Source organism: Homo sapiens, chromosome 1 (assembly GCF_000001405.40).
Source record: "Homo sapiens chromosome 1, GRCh38.p14 Primary Assembly".
NCBI classification, from domain to species: Eukaryota; Metazoa; Chordata; class Mammalia; order Primates; family Hominidae; genus Homo; species Homo sapiens.
In genome coordinates, this window is record NC_000001.11 from 206,546,630 (window position 1) to 206,567,570 (window position 20,941).

At 48.7% G+C, this 20,941-nt stretch overlaps 1 protein-coding gene and 1 long non-coding RNA gene across 4 annotated transcripts in view, besides 6 other annotated features; both read left to right on the plus strand.

The window, feature by feature from the left end:
* The window catches only part of RASSF5 (Ras association domain family member 5), an 81,918-nt gene that overhangs the window by 39,099 nt on the left and 21,878 nt on the right, over positions 1 to 20,941 (plus strand). The window contains exon 1 of one of the 3 annotated variants that reach the window (NM_182665.4): positions 10,535 to 11,064. The exons of the other annotated variants lie outside the window; for them this stretch is intronic. Coding sequence (NP_872606.1) covers positions 10,945 to 11,064 — 120 coding nt within the window. The 5' untranslated portion in view covers positions 10,535 to 10,944. Of the gene's footprint in view, positions 1 to 10,534; positions 11,065 to 20,941 lie in introns of those variants that run through there. 3 annotated transcript variants of the gene reach the window in all.
* Positions 5,592 to 5,641: a silencer, noted in NCBI's record as "silent region_1755". NCBI's record gives its function as "represses an Ori minimal core promoter by ATAC-STARR-seq in GM12878 lymphoblastoid cells {active_cell/tissue: GM12878}" and the evidence as "EXISTENCE:reporter gene assay evidence [ECO:0000049][PMID:35858748]".
* Positions 10,402 to 10,471: a silencer, noted in NCBI's record as "silent region_1756". NCBI's record gives its function as "represses an Ori minimal core promoter by ATAC-STARR-seq in GM12878 lymphoblastoid cells {active_cell/tissue: GM12878}" and the evidence as "EXISTENCE:reporter gene assay evidence [ECO:0000049][PMID:35858748]".
* Positions 10,492 to 10,831: a silencer, noted in NCBI's record as "silent region_1757". NCBI's record gives its function as "represses an Ori minimal core promoter by ATAC-STARR-seq in GM12878 lymphoblastoid cells {active_cell/tissue: GM12878}" and the evidence as "EXISTENCE:reporter gene assay evidence [ECO:0000049][PMID:35858748]".
* Positions 10,856 to 11,356: an enhancer, noted in NCBI's record as "H3K4me1 hESC enhancer chr1:206730813-206731313 (GRCh37/hg19 assembly coordinates)". NCBI's record gives its function as "activates a minimal SCP1, AML or CMV promoter by ChIP-STARR-seq in naive H9 embryonic stem cells {active_cell/tissue: H9 hESC(naive)}" and the evidence as "EXISTENCE:reporter gene assay evidence [ECO:0000049][PMID:30033119]".
* Positions 10,982 to 11,231: an enhancer, noted in NCBI's record as "active region_2405". NCBI's record gives its function as "activates an Ori minimal core promoter by ATAC-STARR-seq in GM12878 lymphoblastoid cells {active_cell/tissue: GM12878}" and the evidence as "EXISTENCE:reporter gene assay evidence [ECO:0000049][PMID:35858748]".
* Positions 11,739 to 15,765, plus strand: LOC124904494 (uncharacterized). Its single transcript, XR_007066831.1, has 2 exons — positions 11,739 to 13,685; positions 14,379 to 15,765. It is a non-coding gene; the product is annotated as an uncharacterized LOC124904494 (long non-coding RNA).
* Positions 13,758 to 13,827: an enhancer, noted in NCBI's record as "active region_2406". NCBI's record gives its function as "activates an Ori minimal core promoter by ATAC-STARR-seq in GM12878 lymphoblastoid cells {active_cell/tissue: GM12878}" and the evidence as "EXISTENCE:reporter gene assay evidence [ECO:0000049][PMID:35858748]".

The window sequence follows — 20,941 nt, forward strand, 5'->3', positions numbered from 1 at the left end:
CACTGAAAGTTGAAAATACCTGAAGTCAAAAATGCATTTAATACACCTAACCTACCAAACAACATGGCTTACCCTAGCCTATCTTAAATGTGATCAGAACACTTACATTAGCCTATAATTGGGCAAAATCATCTAACACCAAACCTATTTTCTTATGAAGTGTTGAATATCTCATGTAATTTATTGAATGCTGACCTAAATTATGGTTTCTATCAAATGTGCATCTCTTTAGCACCATCTTAAAGTTGAGAAATCATAAGTAGGACCGTTGTAAGGAGGGAACCATCTGTACATCTTTAGCTCATCACAGTCTACCTGTCAAATGATACTATGCCATGTCATGTATAGTATAAAACCCTGGCTAGGCACAGTGGCTCACACCTGTAATCCTAGCACTTTGGGAGGCTGAGGTAGGAGGGTCATTTGAGCCCAGGAGCTCGAGACCAGCCTGGGCAACATAGTGAGACCCTGTCTCTATTTTATACCAAAAAAAATTTTAAAAAAGAAAAGAAAAGACAAAAATGATAGTATCCTTCCATTTCTCATCTACAGACCTTTGTACCATTCTTGTCCTGTATTTTATTTTCGCATATACTACAAGCCAGGGGTCCCAGCCCCCAGGGCCACACACATGGCCTTTTAGGAATCAGGTTGCATAGCAGGAGGTGAGCAGTTGGAGAGCAAGCCACGCTTCATCTGTATTTACAGCCACTCCCCATGGCTTGCTTTACAGCCTGAGCTCTGCCTCCTTGTAGACCAGCGGCAGCATTAGATTCTCGGAGGAGCCTGAACCCTATTGTGAACTGCGCATGCGAGGGATCTAGGTTGCGTGCTCCTTATGAGAATCTAATGGCTGATGATCTGTCACTGTCTCCCATCACCCCCAGATGGGACCATCTAGTTGCAGGAAAACAAGCTCAGGCCTCCCACTGATTCTACATGATGGTGAGTTGTATAATTATTTCATTATATATTGCAATGTAATAATAATAGAAATAAAGTGCACCATAAATGTAATGCACTTGAGTCATCCCCAAACCACCAGCCCCACCCCAGTCCATGGAAAAATTGTCTTCCACAAAACCAGTCCCTGGTGCCAAAAAGGTTGGGGACCACTGCTATAAGCCCCTTACAATATTGTTACTATTTTATTTAAATGGCCAATTATATTTTAAAGAGATTTAAATGATAAGAAATTGTTTATTCATTTGGTTACCATTTCTGGTACTTTTTTTTCTTCTGGTAGATCCAGGTTTCCATCCGATATCATTTTCTTTCTGCCTGAAGGACTTTCTTTAACATTTCTTGTATTTGTGGGTGTGCTGATGATGAGTTTTTTCAACTTTCCATGTCTGAAAAAGTTCTAATTTCACCTTCCTTTTTGAGAGATTTTTATGGGATAGAAATTTCTAGGTTGGCACTTTTTTTCTTTCATTATTTTGAAGATGTTGCTTCACTACCTCCTCACTTGCATTATTTCTAACAATAAATTTACTGGTATCTTTATCTCTGCTCCTCTGTATATAACATATTCTTCTTTTTTCTTTTTATCGCTATGTATTAGTCTGTTTTGTGTTACTATGAAGGTATACCTGAGACTGGGCAATGTATAAAGAACAGAGTTTGACTCATGGTTCTGCAGACGGTACAAGCATGGCACCAACATCTGTTTGGCTTCTGATCAGGACCTCAGGAGGCTTTACTCATGGCGGAAGGTGAAGGGAGAGCAGGCATGTCACATGGTGAGAGAGGGAGCCAGAGAGAGAGGAGGAGGCGCCAAGCTCCTTTGAACAACCAGCTCTCACATGAAGGAACAATACGAGATGCTCATTACCATGGGGAGGGCACCAAGACATTCATAAGGGATCTGCCGCCTCAACCTAGACACCTCCCGCCAGGCCCCACCTCTAACATGAGGGGTCAGATTTCAACATGCGATTTGGAGGGGACAGATATCCAAACTGTATCACACTGGTTTTGAGCAATTGGTTACAATGTGCCTTTTGTACTTGTCTTTATGTTTCTTGTACTGGGTGTTCATTGAGTTTGTTGGATCTGTGGATTTATAGTTTTCACGAAAATTGGAAAAATTGGGGGCATTATTTCTTCAAATATTTTCATACCCCCCCACTCTGAGGATACCACTTACATGTATATTAGACTGCTTGAATTCGTTCCACAGCTTACTGCTCTGTTCATTTAAAAAATTCTCTTTTCTTTCTGTGGTTCATTTTGTTTTGTTTTATTTTGTTTTGAGACAGAGTCTCGCTCTGTTGCCCGGGCTGGAGTGCAATGGCGCGTTCTCGGCTCACTGCAACCTCTGTCTCCTGGGTCCAAGTGATTCTCCTGCCTTGGCCTCCCAAGTAGCTGGGATTACAGGTGCCTGCCAACGCTCCCAGCTAATTTTTGTATTTTTAGTAGAGACAGGGTTTCACTATGTTGGCCAGGCTGGTCTCGAACTCCTGACCTCAGGTGATCCACCCACCTTGGCCTCTCAAAGTGCTGAGATTACAGGTGTGAGCCACCATGCCTGGCCTGTGCTTCATTTTGGATCATTGCTATTGCTGTGTCTTCAAGTTTGTTAATCTTTTCTTCTGCAAAGTCTAATCTGCCATTAATCCCCATCTAGTATATTTCCCATCAAAGGCATTGTAAATTTCAACTCTAGTGGTTTGATGTGGATCTTTTAAATATTTTCCATTTCTCCTACTTAACTTTTTGAATAAATAGCATATACTTATTCAGACATTTCTCTGGGCTCCTCACAGCCTATCCCCTTCTACCCTAGAAGCAGTGGGCTGCCTGAGACACCAGAATTAGTGTCTTTGACCAATGCTAATATCTGTGTCAGTTGTGGTCAGTAGTCGAGACAGAGTCTCACTAAGTTGCCCAGGCTGGTCTTGAACTCCTGGCCTCAAGTGATCCTCCCACTTTAGGCTCCCAAAGTCCTGGGATTACAAGCATTAGCCACTGCACCCAGCCCTGTGGAAATATTCCTGAGTTTTGTTCTAGGACCCAGTTAAATTACTTAGAAGTTCGATCCTTTTTAAGGTTTTAAGAGCCTCTTTAAGATTTGTCAGGATTGGAATAGTCCTCAGTCTAGGGCTAATTATTTCCCACCACTAAGGTAAGACTCTCTGTGTACTCTACTCAGTGCCTAATAAATCATGAGGTTTTCTGGTATGGCTTGTAGGAACAGGCACTATTCCTGCCCTGTATGAGGGCAGACACTGTTACCTGTAATCCTTTTGGGCGGTTCTTTCTCTAGCCTTGGGTCATTTCTTCCCATGCACACACCGATCAGTAAGCACGCAGGTGAATACTATAGGGGCCTTTCTGCAGTTCTCTCTCTCTGCAGCTGTCTCCATTCAGTTACTCTGTCCTGTGAACTCGGGCTGCCTTTGTCTCCCTAGACTCGAGCAGCATCTCCTCAGCTTCAGGGGGTTTTCCAGGCTCCACCTTAGTACCCGCTCTGCACCACATCTGGGAGTAAACTGGGAGTAAATCTAGGGATCAACTCATTTGTTTCCTGTGTCTCGGGGATTGCTATTCCTCATTACCTGATAGCCAGTATTTTAAAAACCACTGTTTCATTAGTTGTATCCATTTTTTTGGTTGTTTTAATCAGGAGGATATATCTGAATCCTATTCCCTCATCTTTGCCAGAAGCAGAACTCCCCCAGGCACTGTTCTAATCCTGATTCGTACTAGTTCATTTAATACCCAGCCTTACGCATTGGGTAAATGCCTTGAGGGCAGGGATCCTATCTTTTGCCATTTAGTCTTCCTCATAATGCACTGGGCCTTGCACATAGTAGGTGCTGAAGAAGTCCTTCATTTTATTCGATTTTGAACTTGGATTTGTGGAGGTTTTTTGCATTCAGAATGCTGGTTCTCCCACTTATTATGACACTAGGAAAGTACATAACCTCTCTTAGCTATTACATGGGGACACCAGTGTGGTTGTTGTGGCAACTGTATAAAAGCACTTGTAAACTCCATGGAGCATGAACCTTGTTTGTTTACCAGTGTGTTCCCAGCACCTACCACAAGGAATATATATAATAGGACTGGCAAATAACATAGTTTCCCTTGCCCCTATGGTGTTTTAGAGCCTTCAGCCCAGCAGGCTGCTTGCCCTCTGTAGACACATTATCCTCAAGATAGCTATGGGTGTGAACAATGCTGCTCTCAGCATCTTAAAATATGGTAACGCTCCAAAATGGGGATTTTGTGTTGTACCCTGAGCACACAGGCACAAATCCATGTGCCTGCCCTGCTACCCAGTCCTAAGGCTGCTGACAGCCCCTTTCTGCCATCTTGGAGCAAGTTTAGCGCTCCCAGCTCTAAAATCTGGCTTTCTATAGCTTAATAACTTTATGATCTAGCAATCAATTGATATTGACAGAATCTTTTGTTATTCTGTGGCCACCAGAAATGAGAGGAACTCACCACCTTTAGTTGACATGGCAGGAATGTCAGGAAAGTCAGAAACTAGGGTCCCACATCTAATCTTTCCTGGTAGATGTGAGGGTGGGGAGCAGAATACATTAGACCCCACCTAGTCCCTCAGTCAGTATTTCCTTAGCTTCCAAACCCCAAATTTGGCACTGATTTCTTCTATTCTGACTCCTTCCCTTGATAAGAAGCTAATGGCTGCTCCCAGGGGATTCTAGAGGTGCCAGATGCACACCAGCCCACCTATATCTGCCAAGAGAAGGAGCCAGTCCCCCGCTCCCTCCACGTTACCCTGAGCGGACATCCTTCATTCTTACCCTGGCTAGGCCGTCCCATCTGGGACAGCTTTCTCCATGGCTCCTTCACAGACTCCTGCCACACTTTAGAAGCCAGAAGTGCTGGCCAAAGCTGTCAGTGATTCCTTTGCACTGGACAGCCGCCCTCACAGGAGCCTCTCCAAGGCCTATCTGACCAGCCCCAGATGGGCCCAGCCCACGCCAATGTATTTCTGATTAGGCAGAATGGAAATGCTTCCCAAAAAGGAGGCACCTGAAGTCCTGGCCACAAGGAGGGACAGAGCTCTGGTGCATATTTCTCTAGAAATCCTTAAACCCTGGAGACATTTCTCTGGGCTCTTCACAGCCTATCCCCTTTTACCCTAGAAGCAGTGGGCTTCCTGAGATGACCCCCAGGTGGGCTAGGCTAGCCCTGAGGCGAGAGGCAAGACCCTCCTTGCTAGATGTAGCAGTGCAATAGTTGTTCACATCTCACCCTGGTGACCATGCTGCCCGGGATGTTGGAGGATTGGCCCTGCCCAGAGAGGGGCACATCAGGGAGACGGCTGTTGATCAGAAATAGCTTTTGTCACTCTGTATTCTCACTAGGGAGGAAAATTAGAAGACAGAGCCCTTGGGCCTGACTCAGACCCTGACATGAGTTCTTGAGGGTGTGGACAACTGGGGTAACTCAGCTATCTTCAGTAGGTTCAGTGTCAAGGCCTATCGAAGCTGTTAGCCTGGCAGCCAATCAGAAGTGTGGTGTGGGTTAGCACCGCTGAGAAAGTGACTGTAGGGTGAGTCTAACCTAAATGGTGTGCCACCACTCACCTCTTACAACAGGAAGTCATCTGGGGAGACACCGAGCTCTCTGCTGTACACAGCCATTGAATGCTGAAAATTGCTACCCTAGGGATGGCAGCATCTTAAGATTCAACCCAGATAGGACATCTGGTTAAGGATGCTTCTCAGAGTCAGATGGAAGGTGTGGGAGGTATGGATGATATTGGGGAATATGTGTCAGGAAGTGGGGAGGACATAGGAGGAGGATTTTGACATCAGAGGAGAGAATAGCAAGAGCTAAGCCACAAGAGGGAAGGGTGGCTTCTGGGAATGTGGATCGAATTTTGTGCAGCTGTAATGAGGGTTGCTTGATTGCACCTGGAGATGGGTGTGAACTGTTGGCTGGGTGTGCACCGTGAAGGGTCTTGAAGGACCTGCTCAAGAGTTTGGAATAGGTGGCGGGAGTCGGTGGAGAAAGGACAATTGTAATGGAAAGTTACAGGGGCTCTGGGTTTGAATCTGATTCTACCATTTACTTGCTTGGGCGAGTTTACTCTGAAACTCAGTTCATTCATCTGCAAAATACCTTCTTGCAGGGTTCTGAGGATTAAGTGAGATAATGAAATGTGTAACTTTCATTCAGTAACTTTAGTAGACCGTCTTATTCAATGTTGTTCTCACTAGACTGTATATTATTAGAAGGTAGGGACTGTGTCTTATTCATGCCCAAACTCAGACACTCAGTCTAGTGCTTGCCTGAAGAAAGTGCTCAGTAAGGCTGGGCGCGGTGGCTCACACCTGTAATCCCAGCACTTTGGGAGGCCGAGGCAGGCAGATCACGAGGTCAGGAGATCGAGACCATCCTGGATAACACAGTGAAACCCTGTCTCTACTAAAATACAAAAAATTAGCCGGGTGTGGTGGCGGGCGCCTGTAGTCCCAGCTACTCAGGAGGCAGAGGCAGGAGAATGGCGTGAACCTGGGAGGTGGAGCTTGCAGTGAGATGAGATCGCGCCACTGCACTCCAGCCTGGGTGACAGAGAAAGACACTGTCAAAAAAAACAAAAAACAAGAAAAGGGCTCAGTAAATATTTGCTAAGTGAAAGAAAGAATAAGCAAGTAGAACTTGATACATAGTAATTATTCAATAATTTTTTGTTGAAATCTGAATGGAAGTTGTTATGGTACCATGATCAGATCTTCATCTCAGAAGGGTAACTGTGGCAATAAAAAGGTAGGGGGTTTGGAGGAGGCAGAGATAGAAACATGGGGAACTCTTGGAAGGCTTTGCACTAATCTCAGTTAATGGCACTCATCAAGACAGGAAATACTACGGGAGGAAAAGAAGGAGCAGGTAGCGGACAAGGGAGGGAATAACAAACTCAATCTTGACCCTGTTAAGAGTGAAACTCCAATAGGAAGGGCTGGGTACTCAGTGAGCTGTTACAGGTACCCACCTGGAGATACCTGGGAGAGAAAGAATTATGAGCCCTGAGTCTGTTAGGTGTGGTTGATACCAGTGGCATAGGTGAGACTTACCCCCCAAGGAGAGCAGGGGTACACAGGGGGAGAAGAGAAGACCCCAGGAAGCTGAAAGGAAGACGGGGGCATAGTCAGATGGAGAAAGTGGTTCCTAACTTGTTTGTAATGGACTATAATTTCAGGCATGTGGTTATTATGAGAGTAATCACAGAGGTAAACCATGAGGCCGCAGAGTATAGAGTTCAAGGACTTGGGTTCTGGAGTCAGACCCAGCGGAATTGATATCTGGCTCCACCATTAACTAACAGTGTGGATATGTGCAAGTAACTTCACTTGCCTTAACCTCCTTTTGCTTTCTGTAAAATATAGATAATAACTGTAGCTTCCTCATAGGTTTGTTGTAGGGCTTAAATGAAATTATGAACAAATTATTAGTACAGTGCCTGCACATACTAGCTAACGGTGATTTCAAAATATGTCTCAGGGGTGCGGTGGCACCTTGCCCTGGTTTTCAGCCTCTCTATATGCCACTACATCTGATCATAAGGTCATAAGGCCCTAAATCTGATCTCCACTGCTGCTACCCTTCAACTGGATAGTTGAGGAAACCTGATGTCCATAGTTGCTCAAGATACCATATCAAGCTGGAGTTGGAGCTGGGACTAGAATACAAGCTCCTGACTTCCAGTCCTGTATCACAGCTTTTCTGGTACATGCAGAACTACAGGGTGGATCTTACAAGAGGATCTGGCCACATGACAGGATTGTATCTGAGAAAGGAAAAAAGCTTAAAATAATGTCTTTCATCATCTAACACTTTGAGTTAGGAAAGTGGCCCATTCATCATTTCAATGGGGCTTTCTGAACCCCAGCACGACGCCATGGATTTAGGGCTCTGGCTGCTACAGCTTTAGATCCAGCCTCCTCTTCCTAAGTCCAGGGACAAGAATAGCCAGTTCCCATCCTTTGTGCGATCACATCTCAGGGCCTTAAAGGCTCTTGCTCAGACTCTTCCATGCCCCCTCCCTCTTACCCTGGCCAAGCTATCACTATTATTGATTATTCATAGGGAAGAGGTCCAGAGGTTCAGACAGGGCCATTAGATGCTTCAGGGAGTCCTGTCTTCCTTCCTTTGAGACCCTGGGGCTTCAGTCTGGATTTTTCCTCCTGGAGGCTGGCCAACTTTGGTATATTATATATGATCTTTGTATATTTCTTCTAGTCCTAAAGTCCCTGCCAGCACAGTCTCTGTTTTGCTGACTTCTTACACATGGCTTTCTTCCCAACCTAGATTCACTGACAGCTGGGACAGGGTAGGGAAAGAGACATTAACTAGAAGTCAAGAGGCTTTGAAAGTAATGAGCTGTGATGGAACAAGTTACTTCCCTCAGTTTCCTTATCTATAAAATGGGCATAGTACCTGCTCTTAGGATAAAAGAGTAGCCTGGGGGAAATAATGGATGTTAAAAAGGTTTGAAAGACCCTATTCAGATGTCAGATTTTCATAAGGTTTGGAATGGCAGGGAGCAGTACCCTAAAAGAACACAGTGTCCCTGAGAACTTTCCTAACCAGGTCTGGCATCTGGTGTGCTGCTTCTAAGGAGAGATTCATGCTGACTCCTGGGGTACCTTGGCTTGGTGTTTGAATAGGTTGTTATTAGCTGTATGTGAAGGTTGCATTGCAGAGCTTCCCGGCATGAATCCAAGGACACAGTGTGGCCACAGAGAATCTGGGGCCTGTTTTTTTTTTCTTAAGTATTAGATTCCCACTGAGCAAGGAGGTTCTTTTTATGAAGAAAAGCATGTTTCTTAGCTGGCTGGACAAAGCAGGTGAGCTGTTATTGATGGCCCAAGGATCACAGGAAACCACCTCTCTGGGGGAAACCCCCCAAACAGCCTCTAAAATTTGAAAAAAAGATTGCTCCAGACAAAGCCAGAACCTACTTTCACCCCCATTAATGTGAGATCTTCCCCTGCAAACACCCGGTAGCTCACCCCAGCCCCGGGTGCTGACCGTCTCCCTCCTCTTATCTGCCTGCCAGAGAAGACAGCTACTGGTATTGACAGTTCTCCTGCACCGAGGGCGGCCAGCCGGCTGGGGTGCTGACTCTCAGCTCTCTTGTTTTTGTGCCTGCCAGGCACTCGCAGGCTTCTGGGAAGAAGACTGTGTGGGAGGATGAAGCCAAATTGGGCTGCAGTTTGAAACCTTCCCGAGCACTGACGGATTTGGCTTAGGTGGGAGAGGGAGAGGGTTTCTCATGAAGGTAGCCAGAGCTTAAGATGGAGTTGGCAGCTTGGTGTCCGGGGGGCTGAGTCTAGTCCTCCACCCAGCTTATGTTTCCCCAGGACTGGATTGTTTCAGAACTGTAGGAAAAGCTACACAGATTTGGAGAGAGACCTGATAACCCCTCTCAGCCACAGTCCAGGGCCCTCCGGGGTCCATGAGCCATCAGACTCCATGAACATGGTAGCAAAGCCAGGCCTCTGAAGGCAGTTTCCCTGCCGGGACTCCAGCCCCCACTGTATTTAAAGATGGCAAAGTGCCCACCCAAATAGCCTCATCATTGCTGAGGGTCTGTACATGACAGTGACTGGGGCGTAGGCAGCTGCACACACCAGGGCTGAGTCCCAGCACACGTGTTCTACCTGTGTGACTCCGAGCCTTACTTTTCTCATCTGTACACAGTCTCTGTCTCAAGGCTATTGGAATGAGTCAATGATAGAGTGCACGTAAATCACTTGCACAGAGAGTTGTTCAAACAATGGTAGCTAGAACTGCTATTGATCTATTGTGGGGTAATTGTCTTAACTGCTTTGAAGGATTCAGCCCTATGTGTTCCTTTGTCCAGTCAGATGGGAAAATATAAATGAGCCCTTCTCAATGTTAGGAATGACAAGATCAGGCCAAGACCCCTCTTTCTCAGACTATCCGGAAGATACACAGATGACCTGGACAGTGTCTGCAGGCTCCTGTGTATCCTGAGGCTTCCTGAGGGCCAAGTTCTATGGGTGGGAAGGCAGCTTGCTCTCTAGGTTGCCATAACTCTGCATCTGATTTGCATGTGTTTGTGGTGACCCTGCAGTTTCTTCTGGCATTTCCAACTTAAAATATTGCTGTTTCCCCAGGCAGGGCAGATATTGATTTTTTTCTTCTCTAACCATTCCGATTGACCCGGCTCCCCCACCCAGCGAATGGGGGAGGGAGGGGGTGGGGGTGAGGAAGTGGATGGGGGAGAAGGGAGGAGGGATGGTGTTGCCCTTATAGCTAGCACCTTTTACTCCGTGGAACCTGAGTCACCGGGGCTGATGAGAATGGGCTCTTTCCAGAAGCAAGTGCATGATGAAGAAAGAACAGAGGGAATGTTCCCCCTCGGGTCCATCCTGGTCCCTTCTTTCCCTGCATCCCTTATATGACCTGCAGTTCCCTGAGTCCACTTGCCACCGGGGGCGGGTGGCACCCAGGCGGCGGGGAGGCGGGGGAGGGGCGCAGTGACAGCCGAGCCGGCTTTGAGGAACCTTGCAGAGGAAGTGGCTTCAGAACTGCTTTACGCGAGGGGCAGGAAAGGCGCGGGAGGCGGGGGAGGTGCGGAGATGGCGCTCTGCACGGCGGCGGAGGGAGGGCGCTGGCGCCGGGGACACGAAACCGCAGAGCCCGGACGAGTCAGGGAGTGAGGCGCGAGCCGGGCGCCCGGGGCTCTGCAGGCGCAGGCGGCGCGGGGACAGGAGCAGGTTACCGGGCCGCCCGAGCGCTCGCACCCCGCTGAAAGAAACGCAGGCGGCCCGCCGGCTCTGCCTGGTCCGCTACCCGACCAGCTCCCGGCTCGGGGCTCAGAGCTAGGGGCTTACGCCAAGCGGAGCCCGGGGAGGGGTGCCCACCTCCCTCCGCCGCATCCCAAGCCCGGCCCCCTTGATGCGCTGGCGGCCTCGGCCGGGAACTCCGGGGTAGATGACCGTGGACAGCAGCATGAGCAGTGGGTACTGCAGCCTGGACGAGGAACTGGAAGACTGCTTCTTCACTGCTAAGACTACCTTTTTCAGAAATGCGCAGAGCAAACATCTTTCAAAGGTAAACATAATAATGGAATGCAGGAGCCTTTCGTGGGGGGAAATAACCTCTGTGGTCAATCTAGAAGGGAAACCTTGCTCCCAGCAAAGGGACAAAGCCACATGTCAGGAAAGTGGCCAGGCAGTTGCCCTGAGGGCTGAGCATCGTATCTGGAGCCCTTCAGGGACCTGCACTATTCAGTTGGTCAGCCCTCCTCACAGCGGTTCCATCCACAGATCTCTTCAAAATGGCTCTCCAGAATGTGGGGGCTGCCCCTGGCTGGTAGATTGGCTGCAGGTTCACCTGTGCCTGAGTGCACGGTCTCATAACCGCACCCCCTCCCCAAATCCTAGCTTAGAAGTTCTAGGTGGAAACTGAATGCCACCCAATCCCACAATAAGATAAACATTCATCAGTTGATAAACATTCATAAACACACATTCATCGGTTGGGACTTCCGTATTTGAAGTGGCCAGAAACCACCTTAAGTCGTAATCCAGCAACTTTGCAGAAGTCCAGGGTGTTTTTAGAAGCAGACGAAAACTTCTGGCCTAGGCTGCTGTCATGCTACCACTTTAACTTCCTGGGTCGGTTTGGGTAACCTGAAGGGGCTTGCGTGTGTTTCCTGATGGCATGACTTGTATTTCCTAAAGGTGTCCGCCTCTAGACACCCAGCAAGCCTGGGTGCCCTGGCCACTCTCCTAGTTGGCTGCAGGCCTCGTGTCTGTCAGTATCTTGGTGGGAGTGGAGGTAAAGCTGAGTTTGTTTATTTGTTTTGCTACTTAGATGAGAGGGCTCCAAGCCAGGTCCTTAGAGAGGTTACCTAGAAGGGGCTGGTTTATAGACAGAAGTGAGCTGTTATATTTCGCAGGTGTGTGGCAGGCTCATCATTAATTCAGCAGTGCTACACCAATTCAAATTAACCAAAAACTTCCCCAGGCCTGACTCTGAGGCCTCCTTTGTTAATAATTCATCTTGCCTGTAGGCTCTGCCTTTCCTGGATTCTGAAGTCAGGCAAATATACTGTACCTTCCAATTGTGAGAAGAGGCCCAAGAACCAAAGAAGAGATTGTGATTTTATGTTTGAAGGAGTCAACTAAAATAGGCCCCTGTAACTAGCACCTGTTTTCCAGGGCACCACTCATGAGGCTGGAGAGCAGGGGATGTTCCAGAGGGTGAGGGGCAAAGGGACAGGCGTCCCTTTCCCTGGCTGTAGGTGGGGCTCCTGCAGAACACCGTGGCTGCAGAGGGGAGGTGTCCCACCCTCCCGTGGGGTTCTTGCCGCGTGGTATAAGTCCCCCAAATCCCCACAGATACTCCAGCTAGCTAGGTATTTAGACCAGTGGTTATCAATCTTAGCTACACACTGGATTCACAGGAAGCTTTAGAAAATACTGGTGATACCTGGTTCCCATGCCCAGAGCACCTGATTTAAATGGCCTGGGGTACAGCCTGGGCATCAGGATTTTGAAAAGCCCCCCAGGTAATTCTGATATACAGTTGAGGTTTTGAACTATTTCTCTAGAGTGTTTTGTTGCTGCCTGGGAAGGAAATGGTTCCTGTTTTTAAACCAAAGTTTAGGTGCTGTGCCTGCCTCTCACTGCCAGCTAGGCTGCAAGCCCTCAGTTTCAGAGGGTGAGATTTTTGCATAATTAGGTGAGGAAGAGGCACTGCAAAGATGGGGTTTCTTTTACTTGGCAGTGGAAAAGATAACCGTTTCTGATATTTCTTGGGAGGAATAGAAATATCCTATAAGAAAATACACTGGGATGGGGTTGGTGTGGGGGATGGCTTGCTCCATGGCCTGAACAGCCATCTCTCTCCCTTCTTCCCCCCAGTTCTCCTTCCTCACCTGCCTCCAGAAAATACACCTTTGGTTTGGTCCCTGCAGAAACACTTCCTGTACTTTGTGTCTTGAATCCACCTTGTATCTTGAGGCCTCTGTATATCTTCCTGTGTCATTTTGCTGGAGTCTGTAAGCCCTCAGAAGACAGGAATCCCTTCTAAGAAACTCCTTTTACTGAACCCCAGAGAGGGTGATCAGGGATAAATGCTTCAGGGTGGTGGGCACGGCCCCTCTTATCCTTACGGGAAGCATCTTGACTGGATATTCAGGTCAGGGACAGTGTTCCTCAGCACGAGGCTGGCCTTCAGCACAGAACTCTCCAGGGAGGGGCAGGGCTGGGTGAGCAAGTGCAGGGGTGGACTGAGGAGGGTGAGGCAGGCTGAGCTGGGGACGCGTCCTCCAAAGGTTTCAGTCTTTCATTCTTCTAGGTGCCTTTTTACCTTCAATGACACTTTTCCACTCTCTTTTCTCCCTTGGATCACTTCTGGAAAGGGTTTTAAAGAGCTCTGCCATATTCTGACCCCATTCTGACCTCTTACAGTGCTTTTATTCTTACCCAAAGAGAGATCACGCTTGAGCTCCTAAGAGAATTTCTTTTTCCTGTCTCCAAGGAAAGGAGTTGATGTGTTTCCCGGTCGTCGAGAGATTGAGGCCCTCATCTGGGAAGGGCTGAGCTTGCTTCTATAAATAGCCTTGTCAGAACAACCTGTGTGGCTGCTCAGTTTGTGCCTGGCTAGAACAGAGCTTCAGGGAAGCCTCACTGCTGTGCGATGCCACCACCTGGGAGTTGCCACTGGTCAGTCCCAGGAGTTCCCAAGACTCCTCTCCAATGCCCTTTGGGAAGAGGTCGGAGGGGTGGGAAAGGTCTCCCCATTTCATAGGAAGGGGGTGCCTAAAGGTCAGGAGACAGCAAGGGAGATGGGGGCACCAGGCCCTGGGCCCTAGCTTGGTCTCTCTTTTCAGAAAATGGCAGTTTCCTGGGGCCACGTGCCTCCTTTGAGAGGGGCCGGGGACTTGGTTTTGAATCATACCACAGTTTTAGGAGGCTGAGGCAGTACTCTCCTGGTACTTTCCCACTTGGCTAGGCACAATTAGATCGTGTTTCTCTGGGTCAGGCATGTCACAAATGGGGCCTGGGGGAGAGCCAGCCTGTGGGCTTGGGCAGTGCAGACGTAGATGGTCTCAGTAAGACCATCATAGTTACCTCAATCTAAGGTGTTGCCTAGATGGGTAGGGGGACTTATCAGGTCACAAGACAAGGTTTTGATGGACCCAAGGTTAGAACTTCCCTCTTTTGCCTCCCAGGCCAGAGAATTTTCTTCCTTAGTCCCACAAAAGATAGGGTTTGGTGATTTGTAGGACTGGTGACTGTGAAGCCAGGCCAGGCCCTCTGTCCATCCCTCATATTTGTTCATTTTTTTCCTATCAGGGATCTGACCCTGGAAGTGGGGCCAGCTTCCATTCTTATCAATTTCCCAAATGCCTACAGGTGGTGGCCATTTAAGGCTTTGACATCTGAGCGGGAACACAGGCGTTCTGAACTCTTGGCATGTTAAACAGGCTCTGGGACCCCAGGACTCTGGCACCGGCCCAGAGCATTGGGGTGAGTGCTCTGAGGACAATACAGCTTTCTGCTTGCAGAATGTCAGAGCACCTCGCTTTATAGATGGAGAAACTGAGGCCCAGAGAGGTGGAAGGACGTCACTAGGCCACACATCTGTTTGGGTAGAGCCAGGACTAACACCCCTCCAGGACTCCTTGTCAAGTTCTCTTCTTCTTGGTCTTTTCCTACTCAGTAGATGACCCAGGATAGACCGTAGGTCTTGTCCTCTCAGAACCTTCTACAAAATGGAACACTCAACTTCAGGCTGGGTCAGGTTTTGAAAGGTCCTTCCCATCCCTCCATTCCTTAAGGCATGCTAGCTAAGGGGACATTGACCCTACACTTGATTTTAGCAGGTAGTCCCTGTAATCTTACAACTTTAGTGACTTAAAAGTTCTTCTTGGTGTCTATCCTACAACTGAAATATGTTAATAGATAAACCTCTATCTTCCCACTGGAGACTCCTCCTCATGTGTGTTTTTCTCTGTGGATACAAAGAACAGAAGGTTGACTATATCTACAGTTAAATATTTTTCTTTTTCTTTTTTTTTTTTTTTTTTTGAGATGGAGTTTTGCTCTTGTTGCCCAGGCTGGAGTACAATGACGCGATCTCGGCTCACTGCAACCTCTGCCTCCCAGGTTCAAGCAATTCTCCTGCCTCAGCCTCCTGAGTAGCTGAGATTACAGGCACCCACCACCACACCCAGCTAAGTTTTGTGTTTTTTTTTTTGAGTAGAGACAGGGTTTCACAATGTTGGCCAGGTCTTGAACTCCTGACCTCAGGTGAACCCCTACCTCGGCCTCCCAAGGTGCTGGGATTACAGGAGTGAGCCACCGCACCCGGCCTATAGTTAAATATTATACTTAAGTACATAGAAAACACACTCCCATGCCCCCATCTGCCTAGGCTTTCTTGGGTCTACAGTGACACCATTGAATTCTTTTTCTTCAAGGAAGATGCAAGAGGAAGAGGGTCCTGGAGGTCAGATCCTACACTGCTCCCTGTTCCCTGCCTGTAATTGTTCCATCTCCTCCTGCCTGGCCAGTCAGCTCCTCCCTGGACAGGATCCCTGTGGTACTCCAGGGGCACTAGCCAACCCCACAGCCCTGGGACAGTTGGGGAGGTCCCCATCTCTCTGCTAGCAGCAGGCACACCCAGGCCTCAGGCATGGCACCTGCCCCTCACCACCTCGGCATGAGAGAAAAGAAAAGATTACTAAAAATAAGTTAGCTCCAAATTTCAGCAATAAAAATAAAACTAGAATCTTTGGAACCACTGGCCCATTTGACTGTTTTTTATGTGCTGTCTCAAAGGCTTACATGGCCCAAGACTAGTCCCAGAAGAGATTTCAGACTGGCACAGCCTCCAGATAGCCTCATTTAGAGATGCCGTCCGAACTCCACACTCGTGGGATTCACTGCCCGCTGCCTCCTCTGGCCCTTCCCAGTATTGTCCGTCCTATAAGATCAGAACTCGCATCTCCTTCAGGTCCAACAACATCAAGTACTTGGTTACAAAAGCCAGTATTGGCCGGGCGTGGTGGCTCATGCCTGTAATCCCAGCACTTTGGGAGGCCGAGACGGGCGGATCACGAGGTCAGGAGATCCAGACCATCCTGGCTAACCTGGTGAAACCCCATCTCTACTGAAAAATAGAAAAAATTAGCCAGGCGTGGTGGCAGGCTAACTACTTGGGAGGCTGAGGCAGGAGAATGGTGTGAACCCGGGAGGCGGAGCTTGCAGTAAGCCAAGATCGTGCCACTGCACTCCAGCCTGGGCGACAGAACGAGTCTCTGTCTCAAAAAAAAAAAGCCAGTATTGACCAAATACTGCTTGGGTTGAATTGCTGCATCTTCTCTCTTGCATCCTGTACAATCAGGATGGACTAACTTGAAACAACCCCTGCTTTTCAGTCATTGAATATAATCAGAGGTTTATTTCCCCCTTTACTTAAAAAAGTTAGATTGGCAGGTGGGGATCAGGATAACACATGGGAAGCTTGTGGGCCAGACCCGGAAATGGTGGGTGTTTCTTGCAACCACGGGCCATTGGCTGGAACTCAGTCACGTGGCCACACCTAACCACAGGGGAGGTTGGGAAGTGAAGTACAGCTGTGAGCCCTGGTAGAAAAGGAAGCAGGTTGTGGTGAGCATTTAGCTGTCTCTGCCACACATGCCTCCTGCCACCGTTTCTGCGCCAGGCACCTGGGAAGCTCTGCTCATAACTGCTTGGTAAAGGACATGACCTGTTTCTTTGACCTTGTACCTCTCTCTCATCTGTCACTGAGGATATTCTGTTCTTGGGATTGGGTCCTGTCTCCCCCATCTAAACTGGAAATCTCTTGAGGACGGGTGCTTTTCCTCACTCAGCACTTCTCTGGTTTCTCTGTAGCATCTGAAACCTTCAGTGTTGCATCAAGGTGGCCTCAACCACCTGCACCAGAACTACTCTTTGAGAATGGAGTTTCAGGGGCCCTACTCCAGAGCTACTGGCTCCTGAATCTTTGGAGATGGGACCCTGGATTCTGCTTTTCTAATACTTTTCCCAGGTGATTCTCATATATGCTGCAATCTAGGAACCACCTGTTTAGGAAATATTTGGTAATTGACTGCTTACCCCAATTGGAATGCAAGAAGAGAATGTGTCACAGATTCCTAAGAGGTTCCTAGGCTGGAAACTGAAGTCTAGAGAGGGAAGAGGATTTGCCCCCAGTCACACAGCTCAGTAGAGACAGATTCAAGGAGTCAGGCCCCCTGGGTCCTGCTCAGAGCTTTCTCTGCTAGTCTCATCACCACAAGCTGAACTCTTATTTCAAGGCCCTTTGAGATCTTGATGGCACATGATGTAAGGGAAGACACACAGCACTAACTGTAAATGAAGTCCTCCCTTCCCATCCAGCTCAAGCCACTAAGAGGTTATGGCCAAGTCATTTCAATCATCAGACTCAGGTACTTCATCCTGTCCTTCTCAACAAACACCCTTGTCATGTGAGTGTCCTTATCTTCCCTGCTGAGAGTCCCTTGCCTCTTTGCATGGGAACAGACCCTTTTTACTAGTTTCTCATGGGCCTGGTAGGGATTCTAGATATTGGCTGCCAAGTTCTCTAAACCATAAGGACTTCCCCTAGGGAGGGGTCAGAGAGACGACCTCCTCCAGGACCACCTGGAACTCACCCAAGACATCCTTGTTCACACGCCGCTTAGTCCAGGCCATCCCTCACTCTCTGTTCTGGTTCCTCCCCTCCTGCCCTCCTTCTGTCTTCACAGGTTTAGATAGTTTATCCAGAATCAGCTTTTCCCTATAAAGCAATTTCACTTACAGTTTGGGACACATAATATCCACCCACCCAAGCAGTTTAGGGAGAAAAGAAGAAAGATTTTATGCCAGTATCAAACCTTGAATCCCAGGTCTTATTGCACACTGTCAGATCAGGCTTTGGATCCAACTCCCAGCCTAGGAGCTTGAAGGGGTCCTAGCTTGGGGACCTCGATTCTCTTCTCTTCTGCTCTTCACTTACCAGGTACCCCACACCTGTGTATCTTCTGGCTTTGGGAGCTCCCTGGGTGGGGAACTGAGACCTGTCCTGCAGGTCCTTGGTTTCTTCTTCTTCATGGTTTAGTCTACCTCAAAGAGCATGGGGTGGGGATCCAGACCTAGCCTGGCATATTTTCCAGAGACAAGAGGATGAGATAAAGTGCCACGAATCAGGAGCACTTGATTTCAGGGCCAGGAGGAAGAAAAGAGCTGCACTGACAGACAGCTTCAGGCTTGAATTGCTGAGCCTGTGGCTTCTGTTCACAGAAGGCTTCTGTCCTGGGGGCTCATCTCCCCTCTTCTCCCACAGCATCCCAGCTTTAGCTAATCACTCTCCAGCCTACATCCCTCGCCCCACCTCTCTTCCTAGCTCTAGAATGGCATTTTCTACAGCTTCCTGGAGGTCTCAGATACCTTAAATTTAGTATGTCCAGAACCAACTCATAACTCATTTATTTCTCTGTCTCTGCCCCACCCTCCTAGTCCCCCACCTTCAATACCTCAGGGGTCTTCACCTCTTCTATTCACCCCATCTGTCCCCGCAGTGCTGCAGAGGTCAGGCCTCTCCTCTCTGTCCCCGCCTCACCCTGTGTTGGCTGCTCATAGCCTCTCACTGAGATGCCCCAGTAAGTCAGTTACCCTGCAGTTTCAATCCTGTGTTTTCCCCTCTGTGTATCCTGCCTACAACTGCCAAGGGCTTATTTTTCCCATATCCCAAAATTTTCCCAGGTTCCCTTTCCTTCCGGAGTGAAGCCCATACTTGGTTCTCCCTCTTTAGTACAGCGTCCAAACTCTGCAGCACCTGGCCTCAGTCAGAATGTTGTGTTTTTAACTTTCCTATAGCACTGAGCACCACAGGTGGGGGACATAAAGATGGATGAGATGGGGTTTCTGTACTTGAAGGCCTTAGGGCCCCCAGCCCACATTGTGTAACAGACCCTAGCTGCTCCCCTTCCCCATCCATGAAGTGTTTGGATGGAGGCCCTTCCATATCCTAGTGGAAGATGCTCTCAGCAACTGCCTTGCAGCCACATGGCCTTTATCATGACATGGCAGCAACTCCTGAGACAGGGAGGATGGAGGGCCTGACTCCTAGAATCAAAGGGTTTGAACAGGAATTGCCCACGAGGGGCTGGGAACAGGCTGCCAGCAGACACAGTGACAGAGCTGCACCACCACTGAGGAGGATGGAGGGGGATTTACCTCACCTCTGAAAAGCAGAGCCTCCTGGAGCTGGAGGAGATGGTTAGGGGTTATCACAGCCATTCCTCTGTCCCCATGCAGGACTGCACATAACCCATGACAGGCAGGGGAAGGAAGGTCTGTTCATTACCACCATCCTAAGTTAGTTTACCATCTTAGACTAAGTTAATTTACCATCCTAAGCAAGAAAAGCAGGGAGGGAGGCAGCAGAGTGTTCATGCCTGACAGATGTCGCTGGCGGAATTTCTGCTACCATCAAGCCAAAAAGTTGACACATTCTATGAGGTAACATGTGAAAGGGGGTGAGCCAAGGGCAAGGTTGCCAGCCCCCATGCTTGTCCAGCTCTAAAGCACATGCTCATCCCACCACACACACAGCTGAGGGAAGAGTCCAGCTTTGAAAGGCTCCAAATAAGCTCCAGTCACCCCTCTCAAGCTCTGATGTCCTGCCGTAGGAAGCTGTTTTTCTCATTCAGTCAATTTCCTGATGCTGAAATTCAGGCCGTTTTTTCCTGTTCTAGTCTTGGGAAATCTGGGTTACTGTACTTTGTTATCATGATCATCTCATCAGCCTCCAATTCGTGAACCCCTCATTATCCTCCTCATCTCCAGGCTCTCCCCCATGTGGTGAGTGGTGGTGAACTGTTCCCCCCACTTTGCTGTGGATGACATGCAGGAACTGGGTCTGCAGGGCCCTCGCTTTGCAGTGGGGAGCAAGAGGCAGGTCTTCTCACCCCAGAACTGAAGCTCCACCTATCCCCTCCGTTGGCTGGAGCACAGTGAAGAGGCACTTGGCACCTATAATGTCGATGCTCACAATTGGCTGGGAAGGCGTGGGTTCAGGAGGAGAATGTGGGAGCTGGTGATTCCAGAGTGTTAGAGGGCATTTCCAGTTGTAACTCAGATGTCCCCTTCTCTGTGCTCCCCAAACACCTCGCCGCTCTTTCTCTCCTATCTCTCCTTTCAATGGGCTATAATTTTCTGGACCAGGGACCATAGCTTGTTCATCACTGTGTCCCCTGGCACGTGGTAAGTGCTTAATGTGGGTTTGACAGAGGAGGAGTGGGTTTGGAGCTTCTTTCCCAGGGGACATGAGCAAGTACTTTAGGGCAAGGTTTGTGAAAGTTGATCTCAGGACTATTTTAAAGGGAAGCTTGCTAAGATTCTGGATGTGGAATAAATGGATTTTTCCAGTTATCAGGAAATGAAAAATCCCACTGAGTGAGCAGAAAATGCAAGGACAACTTTTCAAACCTACAGCAGCCCCCACCACCCCAGCTGTGATTGTTCAGCTGTTTGCGCTGGAGGAAGGGGGTAGGCAGGGCTGGGTCACTAAGCAACCAAGCCCTGGCACCTGCTGGCAGGAGAGTTGGCGTGGGTCTTCTGTCTTCCTCTAGTGGGGCCTCCGAGGGGGTTGGGCAGAGGGGTCCATGGGAGGGAGCGGGGGAGCCTGCTCTGACAGATTCCCTCTGTCTGCCTTTCAGCTTTGGGGAATGGCAGATTGGGGAGGAAGAAACCCATAAATCTTTTGTTTATTTTACTCTCCCAATTTAATATTGAGTGGGTGAAAGATCCTGGTTTGGCAGTGCCATTGGTCTGGGCACCCACAGTCAATGGATGGAGCGGGGAGGAGCAGGCTGTACTGGGGCCCTGTACCTGAAGGGAGCCTGTCCCTGGGCCTGGGAACCCACACCCAGCCTTCACTGTGTGTG